This window comes from Homo sapiens, chromosome 4, assembly GCF_000001405.40.
Source record: "Homo sapiens chromosome 4, GRCh38.p14 Primary Assembly".
Taxonomy (NCBI): Eukaryota; Metazoa; Chordata; class Mammalia; order Primates; family Hominidae; genus Homo; species Homo sapiens.
In genome coordinates this window covers 56,388,441-56,416,055 of record NC_000004.12, presented here as the reverse complement: position 1 = coordinate 56,416,055, position 27,615 = coordinate 56,388,441, and the positions used below count along the sequence as shown (strand labels likewise).

Here is a 27,615-nt window from a genome sequence, read left to right as displayed (position 1 = left end):
CTCTGTCGCCCAGGCTGGAGTGCAGTGGTGTGATCTCGGCTCACTGCAACCTCCGCCTCCCGGGTTCAAGCAATTCTCCTGCCTCAGCCTTATGAGTAGCTGGGATTACAGGCATCTGCCACCACGCCCGGCTAATTTTTGGATTTTTAGTAGACACGAGGTTTCACCATGTTGGCCAGGCTGGTCTCGAGCTCCTAACCTCAGGTGATCCTCGGCCTCCCAAAGTGCTGGGATTACAGGTGTGAGCCACTGTGCCCAGCCTTACAATTTTTAAATGTGGTGTTTTATTTATAATTGTATCTTGGGTGCTCTAACAGAGTAGGCATTTGCTAAATAATACCAGTAATGTAAAAGAGTAGGTCCTGCAATGAGATAGATAATTAGAAAATGCTGTTTTTTTGGCATGTATGATCAAATAGCTTAGAGTTTTTAAGTATCTTATATAATTTATTGATTGATACATATTAAAGTTTCCAGAAGTTAAATTATGTTTAAATGGACTAAGGAATATGTCATTTAAAAGAAACATGCCAACCATAAAAATTGAATTCCTCCTTTGATTTCCTTGTTTTATGGTTTGGATGCTTTTATATAGGCTTTCATAAAATGAGGCATAGGCTACTTTTTAAAGTGATCAAATGAGGAGGATGAAGTACATCTTAGAAAGGAATGCAGTTTACATGATTTTTAACTCAATTGACACATGAAGATGAATTATAATTACATGAAATTGCAGACTAATTGGGAGGCGGATAAGTATCTTTTGATTGCTCTTTGTAATGTCTCAATTAAAAATTTACTCATCTCATTAATCATTTCATTGCCAAATGTTTTTCCACTTCTATTTTATTGAGTAACAAAAGTAGCATTGTATTTTACATTAATATATCAACTTTTAGGTGTGATTTTAATGGCATAAATATTCATTTTAAATCATGATTCACCATTATGTTTACAGGCATTCCCATTGAAGAAAAAGAAAAGATATGCTCTTTATCATCTTAAAAACTCTATTAGGGTTTCTATGTTAAAATAGGAAAACAAATGAAAAATAAACATAAGTACAAAAGCACATCACTGCTTTCAGATGGCACAGTTGTATTTTTATAAACTCTCAAGGTAAAAATTGTCAAAAATTTTAAATCAGGTTTTATAATTGCTTTAGGCTAAAATGTTGTCGAGGAATGTTTTAGATTTGGTTGAAAACAGGGAAAATAAAAATCTGGAGTTATGTAAGAATTACCTTTAGAGAAACAGGGCCCAGGTTATTTAACACCTGAGCTTGAGTATGAGAGCAGTAAATAAAGGCAGGGTTTCTATTCTATTACCTGGTTTAGAGTCCAGATTTACGTCCATAGAAAAGAGTCTGGACCAAACATACAGATGGTAGTGAAACAGAAAAGCTCTCTCTCCAACCTCTTCAGATAATTTTTTCTTAAGTTGCTCATTCCACAGCATGAATCCTAAAACTGTAGGCAGAGGCTCTGGAGATTTTAAAGTGAAAGTCTTAAATCATTACTTGCGATACATTTGTATAAAATAAGAGGAGTGAAATAGAGGGGAAATTGACCACTGAAGGAATGTGGTTTGGCAGCCATAGGCCAAAGGAATTCTGAGGCTGAGGATGATGAGATTTAGCAGAAGATGAAGCCTCTTAGAGTTGGTCAAAAGTGTATTTGGGTCTTTTGCCATGGCTCTGGTCCTGGCTACTTGCTGCCTAACAAGTGGCCTATCCTTACCACTTGCATGAGGTTGATCCCAACAGTGGAAAAGGCACTTTCGTTTTCTTCCCTTCTTCCGTGTATCACACACCAATAAAAATTCTGCTGGTTCCGCCATAGGAAAAACCAGAAAACATTACATAATGAATCAAACCTGGTGCAAGGAGGGCTTCCTAAGCCCTAGGGAGAAAACTTTGATTACCTTAAAAATTTTTGGATTCTGCAGATCAAATAAATCATAAGGCAAGAAAATCATGCAAATTTCTAAGACCCCAATTGACATGAATGGTCAGTTTGTAAAATTGTATAGAAAAGTGTTCTACCTTACTGGTAATTAAACAAATGCAAATTAAAAGTTACCAATTTGTATATCATTATAGGCCATTGTTTCTTAAATTAGCCTAAGTCGTTAATTATTTATTTAATTTATTTATTTTGAGATAGAGTTTTACTCTTGTCGCCCAGGCTGGAGTGCAGTGGTGTGATCTTGGCTCACTGCAACTTTTGCTTCCTGGGTTCAAGCGATTCTCCTGTCTCAGCCTCCCAAGTAGCTGGGATTACAGGTGCCCACCACCAAGCCCAGCAAATTTTTTGTATTTTTAGTAGAGACGGGGTTTCACCATGTTGGTCAGGCTGGTCTTGAACTCCTGACCTCAGGTGATCCACCTGCCTCAACCTCCCAAAGTGCTGGGATTACAGGCATGAGCCACCATGCCTGGCCTAAATCATTATTTACTTATCAAATTTGGAAAGTCCCTTCTTCCCATCAATACTCCATAATTTTGCATGACAGTGATTCTACAGAAGGGACGCTATCATGGCTAGTGAAGTACAGTTATTTTGGAAAGCAGTTGTTTTAGAAATAATGTTTCAAAGTAATGGCCAGACATGGTGCCTCAGGCCTGTAATGCCAGCACTTTGGGAGGCCAAGGTGGGCAGATCACTTGAGGACAGGACTTCGAGACCAGCCTGGTCAACATGATGAAACCCTGTCTCTCCTAAAAATACAAAAACTAGCTGGGCATGGTGGCGTTGCGCCTCTAATCCCAGCTCAGGAGGCTGAGGCAGGAGAATCGCTTGAACCTGGGAAGCAGAGGTTGTGAGCTGAGATTGCACCACTGCACTCCAGCCTGGGTGACAGAGTGAGACTCTGTCTTAAAACAAAACAAAACAAAACCAAAAACCAAAAACAAGACAAAAACAACAACAACAAAAAACCAAAGTAATTATATCCTCCTGAATCAGTACTTTGTGTCTTAAAGTAATAATACTAAAAATGGACAAAAGGTATTAATTGCAGTATCATTTGCATGGGGGTGGAAGACCCACACTCAGTTAAATATTATGGAACCATTAATTGTAATATTTAATTTTAGACCATGATTAATCTTGGGTATAATTTAAAGATTATTTTTAATGCAACCAAAATGTTAATGTGCTTATAATTTTATAATTTAAAAATGTAAAGAACAACTAGTGGTATTGTGGAAAGTATATGGGAAGAGGGTGAAAACTAGGGAGCCCGGTAAAGAGGTTACATTAATATTCCATATGAGACATGATGAAGTTCTGGTTAGTCATAATGAGAATAGAGCAGAGAGAAAATTTTATGCAGTATGTCAGCAGATTTTTTAAAGACTTAGTGACTGACCAAAAATCAAGGATATCTCAAATGTTTCTGTATAAGTGATTGGAAATATAGTGATGCTAAGGTGGAAGCAATTTGTAGGAGGATCAAATTCAGGCTAGATGTGGTGGATCGTGCCTCACTTCGGGAAGCCGAAGCAGGAGAATCTCTTGAACCCAGGAGTTCAAGACCAGCCAGGGCAACATGGTGGGAAACCCATCCCACAAAAAATTAGCCAGGCATGGTGGCTCACACCCCATAGTCCCAGCTATTCAGGAGGCTGAGTTGGGAGGATCATTTGAGTCCTGGAAGTTGAGGCAGCAATGAGCCAAGATCACACCACTGCACTTCAGCTTGGGTGACAGGAGTGAAACCCTCTCTCTAAAAAAAAAAAAAAAGGTGATGGGAGAATAGAGAGTTTGATTTTGGAATTGGGAGTTTGAGGTAACTAAACGTGCATAGTTATGTTGTAAGGATAGTCCCTCTGTTTATGAGTGAAAACGAAGGAGTTTGGAGCCAAGGGAGTACCTGAAAGCGCTGAAGATCCCTTTAAGAAGTTGAGATATTGGCACCCACATCTTCATCAGACCAACTCCTGGTTAAAATCGGGGACTTTCAGAAGCTAAGTGATTTACTTATTTATTAATCAATATTTAAAGCACTTAAATAATGAAGAGTCGAAGGTGTTTAATTGAATAAAATAATGCGATTGCTGTTTAATATGGTAATAACTGCAAAGCTTTCTCAGAATTTGGTGTCATCTCAGAAATGGAAAGAATGTAGGCAGGGTGGATTCTTCTTTTAATGAAATGATTTGTTACTGAGCTGTAAACATGAAAAATAGCTAACTTAAGTTAACCAGTTGTAATCTTTGTCCTCTTAACCCCATTCACATTTGGTACTTTTATTATACTATTTACTGTTTTCTCTCAGGTGTTAAATTTATTTGCAGTTCTGTCCTTTTTGAGGTTTCGCATTACTAAACGCATATAACTTAGTGCTTTGCCCATGGTACACACAGATAGTGGGTATTACAGATTTTTGAATAATTCTGCTCTTGAAATAGCATCTATAAGATTTAGACTATGGTAGACATCTCATTACTGTCATTGATTTCCCTCCCTTTGCCTACTAATGCTTCCACAGACAATGAGTAGATTCTATGTAAATAGTGTTGGGTTTAACAACACAGCACGTCAAGAAACCCCTGTAAATCACTTAGTCTCAGATCATTTCATGTACTAAATCTTCATTATACTTCATTGTTAAAATGGAGCTGTTCTTCTTCATTGTTAAAATGGAGCTGTTCTTGTAAACAAGTAATGAAATAGTGTAGAACAGTTATTTTAAATGTGCTTTTATTTATAAATTTAGGAAAACGCAAATTAAATAAAGGAGAAAGTTCTTGTTTGGAGCTGTGGAAAAACATCAGTTGAGCAATGTTTTTGATATTTTTCCCCTTATTTACCACTCTTATAAAATTAAAACTTAAACTATTTTTAGAACTCAATCCATATTTCAAAAACATATCACATGCAGTTGGCACTAGCAGTCAGTGCCATTGTAATGTGCTTTTTCTGTATTTTACAGATTTTTTTAAAGTGGTAATATTTAACCTCTTTTTAAAAAAATTCTTAACCTTGTGCAAAATAGCATAATAAATTGGTTATTTTTCCACAGTCTTGATATTTCAGTCTATATTTATCATATGGCCACAGAAGTCCTGAACTTTTACAGTTCATAAAACTGTAAAACAAAAGAAAAACAAGAGTACTTTTCTTTTTTTTTTTTTTTTTTTTTTTTTTTTTACCTTCAGTGGTCTCTGGGGCTGTACTTGGGCTGAGCGTTTCCAGGTACCTGCCATTTGCATCTTCCTCTGTAAATTGTGTGGCAGGTTCATACTGCAGGATTACATCCAAATCATGGAAGAACTTCATAGTTTTAGAGCTGTCTCCAGAGTTATGGGCATATTTAACTGTTCTATATTCATATTTGAGATTTTTGTACTTAGCCCAGCACTGTTTCCAGTCTCTGTATACTCCTAATGATTGCAGCCTTTTAGCAATGTAAATAAATATTCCTTTATTTCTTAGTGTTCCATAAAGTTGTTTTCGTATATTTTTTTCTGCCCAGACACTTAGCAAAGCTTTAACCTCCTCCTCAGTCCAGTGCTTTCCTGCTCCACTCTCCATGTTGAAAGTGACCTGGAAATGATTCACTATTTCCAGCCAAGGTTTTGTTTCCTAGGAAACCACATGGCTGGTTGTCAATAAGCTCCGAAGAGCTGAAAGGATGTAGTTTAACTGGTTCAAGCTGCCTGAGGGAGTAACTTGAGAAACTGCCAAATAAGCAGGCTTTGTGATTAAAGAAGCCTGGATCTAAATGATTCTTAACTATATCATTTCAGCCTGAAGGAAAAACTTCCCTTGAGACAAAAGGGAAAGAAAACCGTTTTTTGTGTATTTCTTTTCTTACATAATTTACTGTTTTACCAAATGATTGTTGATTTTTAAAAATTGTTTTGAAAATGGTTGGCAGAGGCTTTTTCCAAGAGGTCTATAGCCAATGTTAATAATATATTTCCTCTGACATGAATCACCTAGTCCTCTAACATTGGTTAACTTACAGACCCCACAGCATTTCACTAAATAAAAGAAATCATAAGTCAATTTATTTAGTCCCATATGGTATATAGTATTATGCATATCTATTTTCAGTATTTAATGCATTTAATAAAATCATTTCTTGAGGCTGCTGTGAGCTGTGATCATGCCAAGTTTTTTTAGAGTTTTACTTGGCAACATATTTAATGTTGTCATTTTTCTCGTTAATAAAACACTGCAACAATTGCAATATATAATTTTGAAAAAGGTTCCTTTTTACCAAATAAATCAATGTATTAACAGCTACTAAAGTCTACAGGCACATATGGAAGAGGTTTACTTTTTGTTTCTATCCTGATATATATTCTTTGGAACAAAAATTGGTCAATAAACATCTACTATTTATAGCACTTGTTCAGAACTATTAAAAATGGCAAAGCAGTTGGAACCTTTATGAGAGTTTATACTGCACAGTGGTATGGATGCTCTTAGTCTTTACTATGTCTTGCCCTACCTTCAGTCTAGATTTTGGCTTTTTTCTCTGTATCACCACTTAATCAACACTAATGCAGGAAATGAGACACAGACATGGGAAAGGGTGCCTGGTCAGCAGAGGGTTTTCAGAAACAAAATTTTTTTTTCTAATAGCAAAAGTGCTATTTATTGGAGAACATTTGGAAAATGCAGAAAGGCATAAAAAATGGTTACCAACTATGCATTTTGCCTCTATTATATTTGGAGATTTTAATTTACATCTACATACTCATCCTGTTGAAACCCTATTTAGGGGTTATAAAGAGTAGAGGTTAGAAGCATAAATTCTGCAGTTGGATTGTCTGCATTGGAATCCTGGCTACCACCTGCTGTCTGTGTGACAATGGGAAAGTAACTTCCTTTCTATTGCTTTAGTGTGTTTATCTGTAAAATGGGCATGGTAATCATAGTACCTACTTCATAGGATTGTTGTGAAAACCAAATTATATCACGCATGCTATCGACCTAAATAATTAAAAGGATCAGAATCTAATTTAGAGAGAGTTTATTCAAGCACCAAGTTTGAGGATGTCTCACCCAGAAACACCAACTCCAAGGAATGGAGTCAGCATTGCAAAGTAGGAAAGTTAAGGTTTCATTTCTATAGGCAGACAGAGGAGTTTTTAGCAGAATCACAACATTTTTTATACAAGGTTAGCGCGCCCAGTTACAGCAGTTTGATTGTTATAGGTGGTGGTTCTTCTGGGGAAGGGTACATTTAACATTTTTTTACAGAGGATGTTAATGGGTTTTCTTTCATTTGGTCTAGCAAAGCAGGACAACAAAACAAAAGCTAACTTTTTTTTTTTTTTTTTTTGAAACGGAATCTCGCTCTGTCGCCCAGGCCGGAGTGCAGTGGCGCGATCTCAGCTCACTGCAAGCTCCGCCTCCTGGGTTCACGCCGTTCTCCTGCCTCAGCCTCCGGAGTAGCTGGGACGACAGGCGCCCGCCACCACGCCCGGCTCATTTTTTGTATTTTTAGTAGAGACGGGGATTCACCGTGTTAGCCAGGATGGTCTCGATCTCCTGACCTCGTGGTCCACCCGCCTCCACCTAGGAGTTAATCTTTAACAAAGCTCATCACTTGAGAAGGCAGGAGGTTATTGTTTCTGATGTCTTTTTTTTTTTTTTTTTTTGAGACGGAGTCTCCGCTCTGTCGCCCAGGCTGGAGTGCAGTGGTGCGATCTTGGTTCACTGCAACTCCGCCTCCCGGGTTCAAGCAATTCTCCTGCCTCAGCCTCCTGAGTAGCTGGGACTACAAGCGTGTGCTACTATGGCCAGCTAATTTTTGTATTTTTAGTAGAGACAGGGTTTCACCATGTTGGCCAGGATGGTCTCCAGCCTTGACCTTGTAATCCGCCCACGTCAGCCTCCCAAAGTGCTGGGATTACAGGCGTGAGCCACCGTACCCGGCTGTCTCTGATGTCTTTTAATTCTCTCTAGTCATTGTATAGAACAAGAAAAATAAGAAAGTGAGTTAATCTATAATCTGAGAAACAGAAGTTGTAACCATATGTGACTTGGATCACAGTCATATCTCTCTCAAGGCCTAAAGTATATTTGGGGTTCCAATAGCTTTTAAATTATTTATTTTTACAACGTAAAATGCTAGGACAGACTGCCTGGCATGTTAGTTAATATTAGATGAGATATCTAATTGTTACATTGTCATCTGCTGTGATTGCTAATCATCAGCATCAGCATCATCAATAGAAGTAGTGCTAGTACAAGTAGCATTTAATGTGTTGTCACACTAAGTTCATGGATGCTTGTTGAGAAAGTATGCTTGATAAAGTTCTTCAAGAAGCTAATCAATTGGCAGATTTAACAGCTAATATCTTTTTATATTCACAGGGGTCAGGAGAGTGCTGGTATTGTGACTAGTGATGGGAGTTCGGTGCCAACATTCAAATCACACAAGGTAAATTTGAACTTTAAGAAATGTTGATGACAGACCAAGTGCGGTGGTTCATGCCTGTAATCCCAGGACTTTGGCAGGCCAAGGCAGGAGGATCACCTGAGGTCGGGAGTTCAAGACCAGCCTGACCAACATGGAGAAACCCTGTCTCTACTAAAAATACAAAATTAGCCAGGCGTGGTGGCGCATGCCTGTAATCCCAGCTACTTGGGAGGCTGAGGTAAGAGAATCGTTTGAACCTGGGAGGCGGAGGTTGTGGTGAGCTGATATTGCGCCATTGTACTCCAGCCTGGGCAACAAGAGTGAAACTCCATCTCAAAAAAAAAAAAGAAAGAAAAAAGAAATGGGATGACAAAGATAACAAAGACAGATGATCATTAATATGGGGAGGGGGATTTGAATAAATAATTTGCAATCAAAAGTAATATTCTTTGGATCAGCCACTTTCAACTTTATATCCTAACATTTGTCAAATTAGGATGTATTTCTTCCCCAGTTATACTTTTTTGCCTAAGACCAACTCAAATAGGGGGTCATTTATTTAAATGCTTTAAGATGCTTTGATTTTTTTAATGCAAATTTTAGTTTTTATACTTGACAAATTTTATTGCTTACTACATCTGTTCTTAAATGTTTTAGTGAATAGTATCTTATGAAACACAAGTGCTTCAACATTGTGAAGGTATTAAATGCCACTAAATTGTTCTTTTTAGAATGGTTAATTTTATGGTATGTGACTTTTGCCTCAGTAAATTTTTTTAAGTAAGTGCTTCACAGTTCTTACAATTAGGTTATTTGTTTTTGACTTTTTTTTAGATTAGAATTCTGAAACACAGAGATATTAAATGTACTTCTTTGTCTTATTTGGATTGGCTGGGCAGAGAAGAGAGGCGTTTATTACTAGCAGTACTAGTCTGTTTTTTTCTAAGTTGCACTTTTTGATTTCTCAAGGGAATGGGTCTTGTAAATCACGTCTTTACTGAAGACAATTTGAAAAAATTATATGTTTCAAATCTTGGAATTGGACACACCAGGTATGCCACCACAGGAAAATGTGAACTAGAAAATTGTCAGCCCTTCGTTGTTGAAACACTTCATGGGAAGATAGCTGTGGCACATAATGGCGAATTGGTAAATGCTGCTCGATTAAGGAAAAAGGTACGTTTGTTTGTTTGTTTTCCCTAGGCCTTTTTAAATGATTAGGATGGGTTAATGAATAAAAGTTAAGGATCTTTGTAAAGGGCATTTTCTAATTGTTGCTACCTGTTACCTAACTGCAACAAACAATTGCATCAGAATGATCTGGAGTACTTGTTACAATTCCAGATTGTAAGCTATCCCCTAGAGTTCGAGACAAGGGTGAGAATATGCATTTTAGACTCACTTTTTGAATGCACTGCTTTAGAGATTTGGGAGAGTTGATTTATGGATGGAAGCATAGAGAAATTAGAGTTTATGGACTTGCTATCTCTTTAACTCTGTTGCTATGTTCAAAGCTTGTATGAGATAAGAAAAATCAAGCCATTTTTCCTATTCTCAGACTCAGCACACTTCTGTCACCAAATAGGGGGGTTTCTTATACCAGCAGTTTTCCAGAGGACACCAAATGGGTATCCTATAATTCAATTGTATTCTGATAGTACCTGGAGGTAAAGTCAGGTTCCAGAAGTTAAGGGCTCAGTCCCAGAAGTTAAGGGCTCAGTCCCACAAGATTGTCCCGCACTTCAGATGCCAGTTGCAAGTCCAGGCCTTTGGTACATCTGACAACCAGTTATAAATTGGGAGTTCCTGCAACAGCCCTAGCACTACCTTTGGTTTCAAACATCACAAAACTCAAGAAAGTGCTTTGTATACATTTACCAGTTTATTATAAAGGATATTACAAAGGCTACAGAAGAACAGTCTGGTGAAAAGATGGAAAAGGCAGGGTATGTGGGAACGAGTGTGGAGCTTCCATGCCCTTTCCAGGGGCACCACCCTCCAGGCATCTCCAAGTGTTCAGCTATCCAGAAGCTCTCTGAACCTAGTCATTGTGGATTTTTATGGAGGCTTCATGAAGTAGGCACGAATGATTAAATCATCAGCCACTGGTGATCAGCTCAACCTTTAGCCTTTGTCCCCTTCCCTGGGGGTCCAGGGATGAAGCTGGAAGCTCCAACCCTCTGGTTGATTCCCCTGGCAACTAGCCCTCATACTGATGCTGTGCAGGAGCCCCTAGCTACCAGTCATCTCAACAGCATACAAAAGGACACCTATCATTTTGGCAATTCTAAGGGTTTTAGGAGCTGTGTACCAGGAAAGACCAGGATAAAAATAACATATATAAATCTTCTTACATATCACAAAAGCATAAAAATAAAATGGAGTATAAACTTGAAGATGACATGAAAAAATGAATTGGAAACAATGACAGGAAACTAGAATATGGGAAAAGGGACGGAGACTGTTTACTTAAACTCTTGGTTCACAGCATGTTGTTTGGAGCTTTCTGTGCTAATGATGTCAAATTTGTGCCTATGCTTTCATTCATCATTTCATCTTTCTTTTTTTTTTTTTTTAACTGCCTGTCTTTATATTCATTCCTAGTAGCTTCCTTTTATCCATTCAGGCATTCATTAATTAATGTTGAGTTTCTTCAGTTTATTAGCTCCCAATAACCTTGACTTGGTAACTTCAGAACCTGGTGATATTTAGTAATAGATGGTTACATGCACACCCCATCCTATAAGCATTCTAGAGCTGGGCAATTCACATATGATGAACAGTTACAGAAGCTTAATAATAATGAACTGCTGGGTCAAAAATATCTAGAACCCAGGCTTTTGTACCACTCACTGTCATTCCATTTTTTAGTTCTGTCTTTAGACATTTCCTAGAGCTTTGTCCAGCCCTGTTCATAGGCATTATAATGACCTTATTGTGCTTTTCTGTCCCCAAATGAAAAAATACATAGTTCATTTAAAAATTCAGACAATCATGAAAGTATAAATATGGAGTAAAAATTTCTTAAAAATTCACCACTTAGAGATAACCACTAACTCACTGTTTCCTGACATAATGACTTACCTAGATGCTAAACTTTATCTTTACCTTTAGCTCCCTACTGAAAATGTTCTGTAGTGCCCATTCAGACTCAATCTGTGCATGTCCATGGGGCTGCCCTTGTCTTGGTCAGTCCTGCTCAGAACTTTGTAATTATCATAGAGTACACTCAAGCGATATTTATTACATCTGCTACATTTCATTGTTCAATACAGTTGATTACTTTCTTCTATCAGTAATAATCAATGAGGATGGGTAGCCACCATTATGATCACTAACAAACCCAGCTTGAAAGTTATCACTGTAGTGTACTACTTTTATAGGAATATACCCAGTTCATCAAGAGTGTTGAGGGTAGAAAATGTCAGACCCACAAATCAAATTTTTGGGAACCCCTACCCACTTTCAGGTCTGCTTGCCTTCAGATTTAGTATTCAAAAGCTTTTCTGTACATCTCATAAAGCACATTTTTCCTGCTTGAAAATCTTCTAGATTTCCTATTGCCTCCAGCCATGGTCATCCGTTATTAGTATATACATACTATTAGCGCAGGAGTCCCCAACCCCTGTGCTAGGGACTAGTACCAGTCTGTGGCTTGTTAGGAACCAGGCCACACAGCAGGAGGTGAGTGGTAAGTGAAACTTCATCTGTATTTATAGGTGCTCCCCATCGCTCACTATTACCACCTGAGCTCTGTCTCCTGTCCAGATCAGCAGCAGCATTAGATTCTCCTAGGAGCATGAACCCTGTTGTGAGCTGTGCATGCAAGGGATCCAGGTTGTGCTCTCCTTATGAGAAGCTAATGTATAATGCCTGATGATCTGTTACTGTCTCCCATCACCCCCAGATGGGACTGTCTAGTTGCAGGAAAACAAGCTCAGGGCTCCCACTGATTCTAGATTATGGTGAGTTGTATAATTATTTCATTATATATTACAGTATAGTAATAATAGAAATAAAGTGCACAATAAATGTAATTCGCTTGAATCATCCCCAAATCATCCCCTGTCCCTGGTCCATGGAAAAATTGTCTTCCACCAAACTGGTCCCTGGTGCCAAAAAGGTTGGGGACTGCTGCATTAGTGGGATGCAGGATTTTTGTAACTGGACATCCACAGAATGCCTTATTTTCATTATGGTTGGCTACTGGGTTTGGGGTGGGGTGGAGCTTCCCCTCTGATGATTAAACTTCTCTTTTTTTCTATATAGCTTCTGCGTCATGGTATTGGTCTGTCTACAAGTTCTGATAGTGAAATGATTACCCAGTTACTGGCGTATACCCCTCCTCAGGAACAAGATGACACCCCAGACTGGGTAGCCAGGTAAGCAGAGAACTGGACTAAACTTAGAGCTCTAGTAAGGAGAGTTTTGCCTTGCATATGTTTATAACTGAAGTTATTCATTCAATTATTTAATTAATTCCAGGATTAAAAACTTGATGAAGGAAGCACCCACAGCATACTCCCTGCTTATAATGCACAGAGATGTTATTTATGCAGTACGAGATCCTTATGGAAATCGTCCCTTATGCATTGGTCGTCTTATTCCAGTGTCTGATATAAATGACAAAGGTAATAAACTTTAGAAGGAATATCATTTCATAGTGTTTTTCCATTATTGTCCTACTGCTATCAAGCCCTGAAATCTTTAGGTATAGAAAGTTGATGGGTGGGAGGGAGCTAGGTAAGAAAAATAAAAATAAATGTATTCTTCCTTTTTAAAGTACGTTTCTTTGAGTACTCCTGAGGATGAGTCCCCCCCCTTTTTTTTTTTTTTTTTTTTTTTTTTTTGGAGACCGAGTTTCACTCTTGTTGCCCAGGCTGCTGGAGTGCAGTGGTGCGATCTCAGCTCACTGCAACCTCCACCTCCCAGGTTCAAGTGATTCTCCTACCTCAGCCTCCCGAGTAGCTGGGATTACAGGCGCACACCACCATACCCAGCTAATTTTGTATTTTTAGTAGAGACAGGGTTTCTCCATGTTGGTCAGGCTGGTCTCAAACTCCTGACCTCAGGTGATCTGCCCACCTTAGCCTCCCAAAGTGCTGGGATTACAGGCGTGAGCCACCACGCCTGGCTGGATGAATCCCTTTTAATGTTTTTAATAGAGATTCCTATTTTTTCCTGTCTTAATTGGCTATTCATGTCCTTTGCCTAGCTTTTTCATTTCTGCAGTATGATTTTAGTGGTTTCTTTTCACTTTTATCAAGATATCTTTTTCTAGCCATGAAATCATAATGTTAGAAGGAATCTTAGAAGATCATTTATTTTATCTTTGGCTCAAGTCAAATGAGGATCCATGTGCTCTTAAAGTCATAGAAATGGCTATTCTATGAGTTTTATTTACTTATTTATTTAGTGTTAGCTGTTCCATTGAAATAGCCTCTTAAAATTTCTGGAATCCATTAATTGAATTGATTTGTGATTTACAGAGAAAAAAACATCAGAAACAGAAGGATGGGTGGTGTCTTCAGAATCTTGTAGCTTCTTATCTATTGGTGCAAGGTAAGTTTTACCTTGTTTGACATATTTTATTTTCCCATGTTGAAAAGAATTTTTTTTAGACAGTTTCTTATTTATGTGAAAGTTTGAAAGTTTTCTTTTTGATGTCTGCAAGAAAATATTTATAAATGGTTTTTCTTATGCATGTTATGCTCAGCAGTTGCACTGAGTTTAATGTTCTAGTAATAGCTTCTAATTCTGAAGCTGGCATTCTTTCAAGATACTATGAAACTTATTTTCTTTATTTTGTATATTTTTCTCTTTTTACAGTACAATATGAAAATAGAGACTTATTTTAGAAAGGAAGAACTTCCTCAATGAGAGATAGTTATGACAGAAAAATGTAAGCCAGGAGAAAATGTTTTCTTTATACTTTATTCTTTTAAAATTCAATACAACTTAGGGCCCTTAATTTTTTAATTCTATACTAGAACTTAGTGTTTACAGAGAGATTATAAAGAAATCATTGCAGGAGACATACCACTTTAAAAAGTCACTTCTAGATTTTATATTGAATGAATCAATTGTTTCTCTAAGGGAAGGTACTCTGTGTGCTTTATAATTAATATTTTCATCAGCCTTAAGGACTAGTTTATTAAAAGTCTTCTTTCTTTAACATTGTTTCCCAAGATATTACCGTGAAGTCTTGCCTGGAGAAATTGTGGAAATATCCAGACACAATGTCCAAACTCTTGATATTATATCAAGGTCTGAAGGAAACCCAGTGGCTTTTTGTATCTTTGAATATGTTTATTTTGCAAGACCAGACAGTATGTTCGAAGGTAAGTAGATTTCTTTTCTTTGAACATTCATATAAATGTTTTAGCTATCTCCTTGAAACATGGCAATTCTTGCCTCAAAGGCTTACCTGGCTCTTTGAAGGCATATAGTTATATGTTGTGGATATAGGACTGAGCCCACAAGTCATAAGATCACTATTTTTCACTTCCTTTTGACTCTTGGATTTTGTTTTTTGTTAGGAGTAAGGATTATGATTTTCTAGATCTATATGAAGGTCGATTTTTTTTTTAAAACCACACAGTTGAGTTCCCCAGTTTGTGTATTTTCACATTCATATTTTTGTATATATTGCATTTCTTTTTATACTCAATCTGTAGAATTCTAGCACTAGTTTTTTAGAATAACACTGTTATATCATGCTAAGTAAAAATACTCTCTCTCCTTTTCCAAACACACCAGACCAAATGGTTTATACAGTAAGATACCGTTGTGGCCAGCAGCTAGCGATTGAAGCACCTGTGGATGCAGATTTGGTTAGCACTGTTCCAGAATCTGCTACGCCTGCTGCTCTTGCTTACGCAGGAAAGGTATTTTCTCTTAATTAACATGCAGTGAATTGCTCTCCCAGCTGTGGAATAAGAAACCCTTGCCTATAAAGAGAAACTCATCAACATTTCTAAGGAGAAAGGAAGCTTTGGTGGTTAATGTTGGTTTGTTTACAAGCGTTTTTTATTTTCCAGGCTTTTTATCCAATGGCACTATTTTAGTGAAAACCACTAAAAGGTTCACTGAAAAGAAAAAAACGTTCACTAAAGCGTTCAGAAATTGGCACCCTTCTTTTTAAAAAGATAACATCATGAATATACAGTTGACCCTTGAACAATTTGGGAGTTAAAGGTGCCAACCCTCTGCACAGTCAAATCTGTGTATGCATTTTAATGCCCCCAAACTTAAATACTGATAACCTACTGTTGACTGGAAGCCTGACCAATAACATAAACAGTTGATTAACATATTTTGTATATGTATTATATGCTGTATTCTTGCAATAACGTAAGCTAGAGAAAAGTAAATGCTTTGAAGAAAATCATAAGGAGGAGAAAATATATTTACTATTCCTTATGTGAAAGTGGATCTTCATAAAGGTCTTCATCCTCATTGTTGTCTTCACGTTGAGTAGGCTGAGGAGGGAAGAGGAAAAGGGGCTGGACTTGCTGTCCCAGGGGTGGCAGAGATGGAAGAAAACCCACCTATAAGTAGACTCATGTACTTCAAACCCATGGTGTTCATCAACTATATATTCAGTGGAAAAATTTACTTAATATTAAAATAAACGTCTTGAATTATCTTCACAAGTCACTGGAATATTTGCTTGCTACTAAGTATGGGTAATAATAAAGCTGTTTATGTTCATTTAGCATGATGTTGTCAGTGTTACGCTTTATTTTCATAACCAGGTAGATGGTGTAACTGTAGTAATCCTGGGGTATAACATCCAATATTCACTACCTTGGATACTTTATTAACTTCTAAAAGAATTAATATGCATACATTTTAGAAAAGATTACCTTGATAAATGGGTTAATTACTTCCTATCCCTAAAAAGTATCTCATTGGTCTACTGGTTTTTATTTATTTATTTTAATTCATTTCTTTAAAAATTATCATTTTGATAATGAATTTTTCTGACAGTGATTTAATCTTTGTCATGTCTTCATATGCTTACTGTTATCTTTCAAAACAGAGGAATAATGTTTAAGACAAAAACATTATGAGTCCTCACAAAATGAATTGGTTTTTCCACCAAGTATATTTTGTTTAGTGGTTTTTCTTTTTGCCTTTTTTCCAAATAATAAAGGAAAATTATTTTGAAATTTTACTTGAATATTGTGGCGGCAACACAACCTAGAGAAAATATTTGCCTATTCTGTATATTACTCCTCATTATCCTTTCATTTCTTCTCTATCAGTGTGGACTTCCATATGTGGAGGTGCTGTGTAAAAACCGGTATGTAGGGAGAACCTTCATTCAGCCAAACATGAGGTTAAGACAACTTGGTGTTGCAAAAAAATTTGGAGTATTGTCAGACAACTTTAAAGGCAAAAGAATTGTTCTTGTAGATGATTCAATTGTCAGAGGCAATACCATCTCACCTATAATAAAACTGCTCAAAGAATCTGGTGCAAAAGAGGTAAGTAATATTAAAACATATCCTAAAGCATAAGTTAACAATAAGATACTGGCATAAAATTGCAATTCAGGGTAGTGAATCAAAATGGATGTTCAATATAATAAATTAACTTTTTTTATCAGTTTGGTTTAGGAATAACTGTGTAGCAACTTGAAGAACATGTCACAGCCACACTTACATTAAATGTAATCCTTAATAGATTAAAAAAGCTCAATATAAAAGCTTAAGGCTGGGCGAGGTAGCTCATGCCTGTAATCCCAGTACTTTGGGAGCCTGAGGTAGGAGGTTGCTTGAGCCCAGGAGTTCGAGAACAGCCTGGGCAATATAGTGAGACCCTGTCTCTACAAAAATAAAAGATAATAATAAAATTAAATTTTAAAAAACCTAAAATTTTTACAAAATTTATTCAAAGACTAACTACACAAAATAGGCTGGGCACAGTGACTCATGCCTATAATTCCAGCACTTTGGGAGGCTGAGGTGGGCAGATTGCTTGCATCCAGGAGTTCAAGACCAGCCTGGACGACATAGTGAAACTCACCTCTCCTAAAATTACAAAAAATGGGTGGGGCGTGGTGGCACACACCTGTAATTCCAGCTACTTAGGAGGCTGAGGTGGGAGGATGGCTTGAGCCCAGGAGGTAGAGATTGCAGTGAGCCGAAGTGATCTCAAAAAAAAAAAAGTCAAAAACACACAATAGAATGCTTTTTAAAATCAATGGAGTATTGATTGCTTTCTCTACTTGAAGACATGCAGCCAATCCCAGTGTAATACCTTTGACTTATTATTTTTTAAAATGTATTTGTTAAAGACAGTGTCTGGCTCTGTTGCCCAGGCTGGAGTGCTATGGCACCATCTCAACTCACTGCAACCTCTGCTTCTGGGGCTCAAGCAATCCTCCCACCTCAGCCTTCTGAATAGCTGCAACTATAGGCATGTGCCATTGCAGCCAGGCTAATTTTTGTATTTTTAGCAGAGACGGGGTTTCACCATGTTGCCCAGGTTGGTCTTGAGCTCCTGGACTCAGGTGATCCACCTGCCTCGGCCTCTCAAAGTGTTAGGATTACAGACGTGAGCCATCGTGCCCGGCCAAGTTATATTTTAATATCACTTTATGCCTTTTTTTCTTTTTTCCTTGATACTGGGACTCACTGTGTCACCTGGTTGGAATGCAGTGGTTCGATCTCAGCTTACTGCAACCTCCACCTCCTGGGCTCAAGAGATCCTCCCACTTCAGCCTCCCAAATAGCTGGGACCATAGGCACACACCACCATGCCCGGCTGATTTTTCGTATTTTTAGTAGAGGCAGGGTTTCACCATGTTGCCCATGCTGATCTCAAACTCCTGAGCTCAGGCCATCTGCCTGCCTCAGCCTCCCAAAGTGCTTGATTACAGGTGTGAGCCACCATACCCGGCCTCACTTTATGTCTTGAAAAAAATTTTTTTTTAATTTTTATTTTTTAAATTGACAAATGTATATATTTATTGTGTACATGTTTTTATATAGATATATTAAGTTATTTTAAGATTTCAAAGCTTATTCTATTTCAGTAGCTCATACTACAGAAGTGAGATGCCATTTACAACTAATAGTTATGTAAATTTAAAAATAAAGTCTCAGCCTGGGCAACATATACCCCATCTCTGAAAAATCAAAAATAAAATCTCACTGTAGAAGAAAGTGGGATGAAAAGCAGCATGCCAGTTTATTTAGAAAGTTTCCAAGATAATTGGGATTATGATTTTCCAGCCTTTTTTATACCTGTGTTTAGGATTATGATCATCTTACTCTGGAATTCTGTGGAAATTATGTAATAGATACAAGAGTTTAACATAATTTCATCATTTATTGCAATAGTGAAAAAGAATAAAGTCAAAGAACCTGGAAATGGCATATCTCCCTGTTGGTGAATATAATTTAGTAAATTGATATATCAGTGTGATGAAATATGATGCAGCCATTAAATACTAAGAAGACTGCGTAGCAAAAATGGGAAAATCTATTCTAATAAAGTTTAAAAAGGAAATGTGGACACTGAGTATAGCCATGTAAACGTACCTGATGAAAGGCAAAAAAAACAATAACAGACAAAAACAACTCTGTTGTAGTAGTAAGGTTTTTGTTATAACCTGGTAAATTGTATTTTTCTTTTTAAAATGGTAAGATAAGGGATAAGCAGAAGTACCTGGTATTACAAGAGAAAAGTGGCTCTAGGAATGTAAAGACATCAAATGAGAAGTAGGATATCTAGACAAAGAAACTTCCTCATGATTAGGTGAAAGAAAAAAAAAACCAAGAAGCAGCTTTGTAGAAAGAATAATTTATTACCCATATGTTGTTACTGAATATTCTGCAAAACAATTTTGTATTGTATTTGCACAATGAAAGAATTTTGCATAGTCTTAAAAACCTTGTGTGCAATGATTTCTTTCCAAGGTACACATTCGAGTAGCTTCACCACCAATTAAATATCCATGCTTCATGGGAATAAACATTCCTACAAAAGAAGAGCTCATTGCCAATAAACCAGAATTTGATCACCTTGCAGAATATCTAGGTAAGTATTAAAATTTCTATAAACTTTGATTATTAACAGAGAAAATCCAAAGCTTGACAGTCTTTACACCTTTAGTAAAAAGGAGTATTCAGTGTTTGTTAAAAGTAGTTATATATGTTAAACAGATATTGAATACTATTCTCAACAGTGAGAGTAGTGGGCATGGGCAGACACCACAGAGTCTTGTGTTGGAGAGCTAAGCCAAGGTGAGATCAGAGAAGGAAGAGGTGGTTTCCAGGTGGAGGGAAGTGCAATCATAATCACTTAAAGCCTCCCAAAAGTCAGATCCCAAGAAAAACAAAAATAATTTAATCAGATTCTAACAGAGTAATTTGGATGTGGATACAAATCACAAGGTAAAAAGTTTGTGTAGGTTCATATTCAATAATGAGATAAGGAGACTTCGAGATCTAAGTTATCCTGGGTAAGACATCTTCCTTTCAAAATCAGGTGATGTATAAACTGTGGAAATAACACATGATATTTAGTCATTGTGCCTTGGTACCTCCACACCATCTGTTTGTGGCTGGTGTTTCTTTTAACCTGTCATGCATATGCCTCACTGGTTAAATATTTTTAAATATCACCCTGATGGGTGTCATACATGTTATAAGCACTCACACTTTGCCAGAAACTATGCTGCCTATATTATCTATATTATCATAAAAACTCTACATTTAGGCAATGTTTCCACCATCTTATATAGATGAAAAAATAGACTTAGGAAAACTGAGTGAACTTGAGCTTAACTTTGAGCCTAGATCTTCCTGACTTTAAATTCCATTTTTTCAATTAAGAAAATTACTCCCAAAGCCCTCTAATTCCATTCTAGACTTGAAGCCTCCTCTGCTGTTTTAAATTATGTTATCCCCTAGATTCCAATTAAAATTTTTAAAAATAAAGGAACTGAGTTTTATTGATTTTTTTTCCTTTTTTTTTTTTTTAAAGAAAGGCTAAAGGAGAAATTTATCCTAGCTTAAATTATTCTGTTTGTAACTATTCTCTGTTGACGCGTTTCTTCCTTTCTAAAGGAATTCTTATTACATTTTTATTTTTCCCTCTTTCTTTAGGAGCAAACAGTGTTGTGTATCTGTCAGTAGAAGGACTGGTTTCATCTGTACAAGAAGGGATAAAGTTTAAAAAACAGAAAGAGAAAAAGCACGATATTATGATCCAAGAAAATGGAAATGGTCTGGAATGTTTTGAAAAGAGTGGTCATTGTACAGCTTGTCTCACTGGAAAATATCCTGTAGAATTAGAATGGTAGCTGGTAGGGTTGGATGTGTGTAGTTTCAAGATAGAAAGTTGGTCAAGAAGTTATAGTGGTCACACCTCATCTATTTACTGTTACTCAGTTGGTACAATGTAAAATGCCATGCTTATGTTTATAAGTTTTGAGATTTTTTTTTTTTCTGAAAAGGATACCAAAGTGCGATAACTGAACATTTCCAATTGCATATAATACAACAATATGTGGTGTTCTTTTTTTTACACAAGCATTGGCTAGCCTTTTTAACCTGGTCAGAGAAGGCAGGTGGTCACTGACATTTCCCAAGTCCATGCTTTAAAGGGTTTGCAAGAAGTTAGGGTTAAGGAGAGGTGATGCCAACAAGACAGGTGAGTTAAATATACCATTTCACACAAAGTTTGAATAGAATACATTATACCTCATAGGTGTCTAGCCTCTACAGTTCTGGCTGTAGTTATGACCTTGGCTTCCCTGTCTAACTGTAGACAAATCTTTAAAAAAAAATAATAATAATCTGGTGCCTCAGTTTCCCCACATGTGCAATGGGATACTTATTAAATAATTAATAAGAATGTGAATAAGTGTCATACTTTTGTGATTTGAGCCATCATTTCACTTCTGATTTTAAGACAACTCATGATTGTTAGCTTTCAGAAAGCTAATGATTGTTAACTTTTTGAAATTAGTTTACAATTAATTAAGATTTCATTATGATGGAAGGAGACATAATTGGCAGATCTTTGCCATCTCTCTTTGAGATGTCCTAAAAAGGGTTGTAAAAATCTGTGAAAAAGTTTTTCCTACATTTGACTAGAAAATGTGATCCATAGTATTTAGTGCCCTGATACTATAAGCTCAGCAAGTAACCTGGTACATTTGAAATAAAAACCAAATTTTTAGATTCAAACAATCCCTTTATCCTTAATTTAATTAATTATCATATGCTTTTTTTAATGAAGTGCTTGATCACTTGCAAACATATATACATGTAGATGTACATATACATGTACACATACACATAAATATTATTGCAATTAAGTGATCAAGTACAGACACAATAGGGGCCAGTTTTGTTTAAGGATCAAAGAGACAACCACTTTGGGGAATTAGTATCAACTTACAATCCAAGTCCAAGTATCATCTTATAATCACTTTTTTCTACTATATTAAGATCTAATGAATTTGATTTCTTTTTTGAAGTTTTTTCTTGTAACATCTGAGATTAGAAGTTTAAGATGACTTGACCCCAAACCTTTGTTTATGTAAGAATTTTTAAACATAAAAGTGTTTGTTTCTGTTATGTTACCATAATTTGATGTATATAGTGTCCAGATCCATTTAGAAATTTAATATTTATTAATAACTGAAACTGTTTGTCTTCCTTTGGTATATAGTCTCGCATATTATATTATAGCAGGCCAAGATAAAATTTTGACAGCTCTTTAAGCCCACATGCAGCAGTGGGTCAGATAACCCTGTGGCAGTGACACGGGCAAATTGGCATTTGAATAAAGCCCTGGGACCACCTCAACATGCGTAGCCTCTTGTCTTAAATGTACTCCCCATGGCAGCATGGAGGAGGCAAGACCTGTGGGTCAATTTTGAACTGGCCTTACTTTGATTTTTAAAACAAGAGACTCAGGGAAAGTACTAAACCAAAATCTCTGATTTTACTTTGCGTTTTCTGTAGTTTTTGTTTTACTGAGATGCTTTTGTAAAGGAAAATAATACTGTGACAGTTTAGTAATTCTACAGATTCTTAATATTTCTCCATCATGGCCTTTTACTTCACAATTTTCTGAAGTCTGAATTCAATTACAATTTTTTTTTACCAATTTAATCTCAAATGTTGTTTAACTGCTTTAAATTCATATACGTAGAGTATTATAAACTGCAGAGATGAAAAATGTGTTTTCACGGGATTTATATTGTGAACTAAACTAAGCCTACTTTTTGTGACTTATTTGTGATGCCTTGTTGATAAATATGTGTAATAAGTATGTTTAAATATGTGTGTCCTTTTTTTTTTTTTTTTAAATAGTGACTTTAGTTAGTGCTTTATGGTAAACAGCATGGAGACAACTTCCAGGCTCCATTCTTGGCACCAGCTAGTCATATCTTATTTCTCTGATCCAGGCATTTCAATAAATAGGCCATCTCTTATGAACCAGGCAAAACTGCTGGTTGACTATGAGGGACAAATTAAGTAATTAGAAAAGCAGTACTAAGTAAGCACTACATCGTGGCAAGTTCCTAGGAAGCACTATGGGGAAAGAGGGAGTGTCATGGAAGAGCAGGATTAGATTCAAAGTGTCAGGGTGGGTAGGTAAATGAATAGATAAACTGTAGTACATTCAGACAATAGAATATTATTCAGTGCTTAAAAGAAATGAGCAATCAAGCCATTAAATGACAGAAGGAACATAAATGCATATTAACTAAGTGAAAGGCACCACTCTGAAAATACCACTCTGAAAATATTGAAGGTATCCAAAGAAAAAGTCTCCCATGTTAAGGATAAACTGGTCACAGACAAGAAAGATTACTAGTAGGGCACCTGCCAGTGTTAAGAAAATTTCTGTGCAACTAGGTAAACCTTGGTCGCTGGACTGGATCTTTAATTCTTCTAGGTTCCTCCAATCCAACTTTCTTCCATAGAATTACTAAAAACGAGACTTGCTATGTTCTTAAAGCCCAAGCTCAAACTTAACTGAATTTTAAGGGAGAAATCTCATGCCCAAAGGTTCACAAAACTGCCCAATGCTATAACCAGAGACATTAAAACTGTAAACCAGAATGAAAAGCTAACATCTCCATACTGTGGGCAGCTTTTCCCAAGATGATGGAACATAACTCCCCATCCTAATGACACTCTTGCCCCTCTTAATTCTTCCTTGTTTATGCCTACCTCTTTGATTTGGCAGGATAATTTCACAATCGGTAGATATTGTGGGTGACTTGACAGAATCTGACTTCATAAATCCTTTAGTCCACCCAGGGGGTAATACTGGCAACATCCTCAGTAAACTTTTTGTTCAAATTGTACTAATGGTCTTTTTTAAAACAGAGTTAGCTCTCTCTGCTTTAATTCAAGCCAGTCATGGAATGCTAAGTAATAGGATTGCTGTGTACCAGCTAAACAAAGAGATGTCTGTGCTTTTGCTCATACTACATGCTGTACCTGGATACATTCCTTTGGGGAATTTATATACACAAAATAAGAAAATAGCCCACATGGTATAATAAGTCTCACCTAATTCTTCATGATCATTTGATTTATTCAACTGGTTGTCTTTAAGCCTAGGTTCACGGCTGAAAACTATTATGCTGAGATTGTTACTTTGTATTTTCTTTTTTTTTTTTTTAAGAACTTTATACCTGTTTCTTGTCAAATTTGCATAGAAATGCAACTCCTAAGAGAATAATGCTCTCCCAGCACTTTGAGATGATAGACAGTGCCTATGGAACAGACAGAATTGAACTTAACAGTGGACTCCAGGTAGACTTAGCCTGAGATCCACTCCCTCCAAACCTCTTTTGTTGTTCAAATGTGGCTAAAGGGTTTTGATGCTAATTCCTAGTTACCAGTGACTCCCTTCAACATGAGGGCAGACTGGCACCAAGAGATATCAAAACCTAAATACAGGATGATTGATCAGTGATGCTTTTGAGAAAGACCTTGATCAAAAGGGGAAATGTGAAAGTTGTCAGATTCAAAATGGAGTCACTCGTATTAAAACCCTGGCAAACGGAGCCAGGAAACGCCATGAAGGGGAAGGGTTCTCATGTACATATGGTTGATAACAAGAACTATCAAAAGACTACAAAAATTTACAACCTGCACAAAGGCCACCACAACCTTAAACACAACACACACACACACACACATACTTCTGCAACGACATCTGCCTAGCAACTGCCTATCTAACTTATGGACTGACACCACCCTTACCACGCTTGTTATTGTTAAAACAAACAGTGAGGTTTATTTTTATTTATTTATTTATTTTTTGAGATGGAGTCTCACTTCGTCACCAGGCTGGAGTGCAGTGGCGCAATCTCGGTTCACTGCAACCTCCACCTCCTGGGTTCAAGTGATTCTCCTGCCTCAGCCTCCAGAGTAGCTGGGACTACAGGCGTGTGTCACCATGCCAAATTAATTTTTATATTTTTCAAAGAGACGGTTTCACTGTATTGGCCAGGATGGTCTTGATTTCTTGACCTCGTGATCCACCTGCCTCGGCCTCCCAAAGTGCTGGGATTACAGGTGTGAGCCACCACCACTCCTGGCCTTCCAGTGTACTTCCATAGTTACATATTCTTTCCTCGTGCCCTGTGAAGAGGTGCCTTCCACCATGATTTTAAGTTTCCTGAGGGCTCCCCAGCCATGTGGAACCGAGTCAATTAAACCTCTTTTCTTTATAAATTACCCAGTCTCAGATATTTACTTAAAGCAATGTGAGAACAGACTAATACACCTGTCAAAACACCAAGCCTGAAAAACTCAACCACTAATTTGCTCTCTGCCTTCTCCTGAGCAGCTGAACACTTAGAGTAACTCACACAATGCCTTATTATCCCAACTGTGATATGTGGTACAACAGCACATAACAGGAGGACCTAACCTTGTTTCAGGTAGGGTCAAGGATTTTCCAAATTATTTTTGAACTTTTTAAGGAAACAATGACATTGACAACTGAGAGATAAGCCTTAAAATAAGTAGAGTGTGCCAGTCAAGGTACAAAATATCAGCAGGGTACAGGGTGGGCATTTGATATTTCCCTGCAACTGGAACAGTGTAAGTGGATGGAGCTGAGTAAAAAAAAAAATAGTTTGGGAAACAAGCGCCTAAGACATGAATCCCTGCTATAAGGGTGCTATTTAGTATAGGAGGTCAGATTTGGAAATAATGCAGCAACAGTAACAACTGATGCTGTAAGAAATATATGTCGCTGTCTGGGAAGGGTCTGGTATTGAAACCTATTTTAAAGTTAGTAAGATAGCCTGTTAACTGTTTTATGGCAGTAAACTTGGATTCCTGGGTGACAAAGAACTTTGTAATTTATGGCAAAAGCAGAAGCCAGAACTTCATGTTTATGCATTTTCCATGTCCCCCAAGTCCCACCAGGATGGTGAAGATGGGCTTCCATGGATGTCTGCACATGCAGTCAGTGGGTTACATTATAGGAGAGGAATACTGAGTTTGGGGGATTCCATACTTTTGTAGTTAAGTGGAAGCAAGCCTACTCTTTGGGAAGAATACTTCAGCTATGAAACTGATCATCCCAAACAACCCTGAAAAATGATCTAGGTAAAGAGCAGTTAGGACCTTACATTCTTGGCAAACCCAGAATTTGCAGGTCCCATGACAAATGACCCCTCCCAAGAGTATGATGGGTTCGTGGGATGGAGTTTGGAGGAGTCTGGATAAATTATTCTTTAGGGCTTGAAGAAAGGCATCACTGAGGAAGTCATGTTTAAGCTGTATTTTCATCAAGCAGGCATGGAGAAAGAAGGGTATTTCAGCCTGAGCCCAGCCAAAACAGGTGTGGAAACATGATAAGGACTTTGTATTCTCAGAACTCTTACTAGCCTTTCATTATGACTAGAGTTTACAGTATCAGGTGTGGGGAATGTGGAAGATGGGTGGGGGAGCAGTGGCCTGCTGTGAGATATCAGGTTGGAAAGAAAATGAACTCTCTTGTTTACCTTGCTGAAGAGTCTGAATGTTATGCAGGCAACGAGGGATCATTGAAGCTTCTTATTCTCATAGAAGAATGCTATGACTGATCTGGTATATGTTTTAGAATGATCACCTTGGATTATCAGGTAAAAATGCTGTCTTAAACATAGTGTTCTACATTTGCTCCCTAAGACTCCCTGAAAATGACAGTAACAGGATTTTTAAAGTCATACACCCTTAAGGATTAAAGAAAAGGAATAATGGAAATGAAATTCTGGAATCAATAGCAAAGGGCTCAGTTGACTTGAAAAACCTGAATTCTAAACCCCCAGTGAGCAAAACCAACAAGCAATTCTATTTGTATCACAGAACCCCCTAAAAAACTAAGAAACTGGCTTCAGGAAGTAGAAGTGAAGAGGGTACCTAAAAGGACTGGAAGTTCATTTAGGAGAGTGTTATATCCTTTATGCCACCCCCGGCCCCCGCCTTATTCTGAAGCCTTTTTTTATTGCTCAGGAGTAAAACGGGGTCTCTGTAATGGAGGACATCAGGCACCTAAAACAAAGAGAATTAAGTGAAAATTGTACTAAATTCTGAGACATACCGCAGCCTCCATACCCCTCCTCTCCCACTTGATTTTCAACAAACGTCCCATGGGCTCAACAGCTTCCAATCAACTTTTAAATATACCCCCACTTACATATGAGCAGATAAGGACCACCAGACATCCTAGGAAAGCCTCTAATGTGAAAGATAGAGCACAAAATCAACAGAAGAAAAAAAAAGGAAACTTGAGGGAAATAGATACTGCAAGGGAAGAAAAACTTTAAAAAAGGTATCATTAATATCAGAGAGTTGGATGATGATACTGGAATAATAAAACATCATTTTGGCAGCAATTCAGAGTCAATCAGAGGCAAACAAAACTGAAAACGTTTTAGGAAAAAGCTGACCAAGAAGACCTGAACTAAAGTAGCAGTAATGGCGATGAACATGACACTTAAAAAACGCAGGTTCTAGGCCCCTCACTAGAAAACTAGGGGATGAACCTCCGGGGATGGAGTCCAGGAATTTGGAATCTTCTAAAACATCACCACCGGCAATTCTGATGTAGCCAGCTGGGTGCTGGTCTCAAGACTGAGAACTAGAGGACATAGGGTCTAATCGGATGTAAGAGGTTAAGAAAGTGGGAAGGTTGATAACTGTCTGGCTGGGTGGATGATGGTGTCATCCCAACGTAGAAACA

General features: G+C 37.3%; 2 protein-coding genes across 7 annotated transcripts in view; one reads left to right on the top strand and one right to left on the bottom strand.

The window, feature by feature from the left end:
• PAICS (phosphoribosylaminoimidazole carboxylase and phosphoribosylaminoimidazolesuccinocarboxamide synthase) overlaps nucleotides 1–5,549 on the bottom strand; it is a 54,072-nt gene extending 48,523 nt beyond the window's left edge. For 3 of the 5 annotated variants that reach the window (NM_001392010.1, NM_001392011.1, NM_001392012.1), the window contains exon 1: nucleotides 5,159–5,549. In NM_001392010.1, the coding sequence (NP_001378939.1) occupies nucleotides 5,159–5,540 (382 nt within the window). In that variant the 5' untranslated portion in view covers nucleotides 5,541–5,549. Of the gene's footprint in view, nucleotides 1–1,328; nucleotides 1,485–1,739; nucleotides 1,827–5,158 lie in introns of all 5 variants that reach the window. The other 2 variants (XM_047449527.1, XM_047449528.1) reach the window with 2 other exon arrangements.
• Nucleotides 1–22,694, top strand: part of PPAT (phosphoribosyl pyrophosphate amidotransferase) — a 42,254-nt gene extending 19,560 nt beyond the window's left edge. The window contains exons 2-11 of one of the 2 annotated variants that reach the window (NR_156493.2): nucleotides 8,340–8,406; nucleotides 9,438–9,561; nucleotides 12,655–12,767; nucleotides 12,871–13,016; nucleotides 13,875–13,947; nucleotides 14,575–14,726; nucleotides 15,145–15,272; nucleotides 16,656–16,877; nucleotides 19,317–19,437; nucleotides 20,508–22,694. Coding sequence is in view for 1 of the 2 variants with exons in the window: in NM_002703.5 (NP_002694.3) it covers nucleotides 8,340–8,406; nucleotides 9,355–9,561; nucleotides 12,655–12,767; nucleotides 12,871–13,016; nucleotides 13,875–13,947; nucleotides 14,575–14,726; nucleotides 15,145–15,272; nucleotides 16,656–16,877; nucleotides 19,317–19,437; nucleotides 20,508–20,704 (1,426 nt within the window). In the remaining variant the exon portion in view is untranslated. Of the gene's footprint in view, nucleotides 1–8,339; nucleotides 8,407–9,354; nucleotides 9,562–12,654; nucleotides 12,768–12,870; nucleotides 13,017–13,874; nucleotides 13,948–14,574; nucleotides 14,727–15,144; nucleotides 15,273–16,655; nucleotides 16,878–19,316; nucleotides 19,438–20,507 lie in introns of both variants that reach the window. The other variant, NM_002703.5, reaches the window with a different exon arrangement.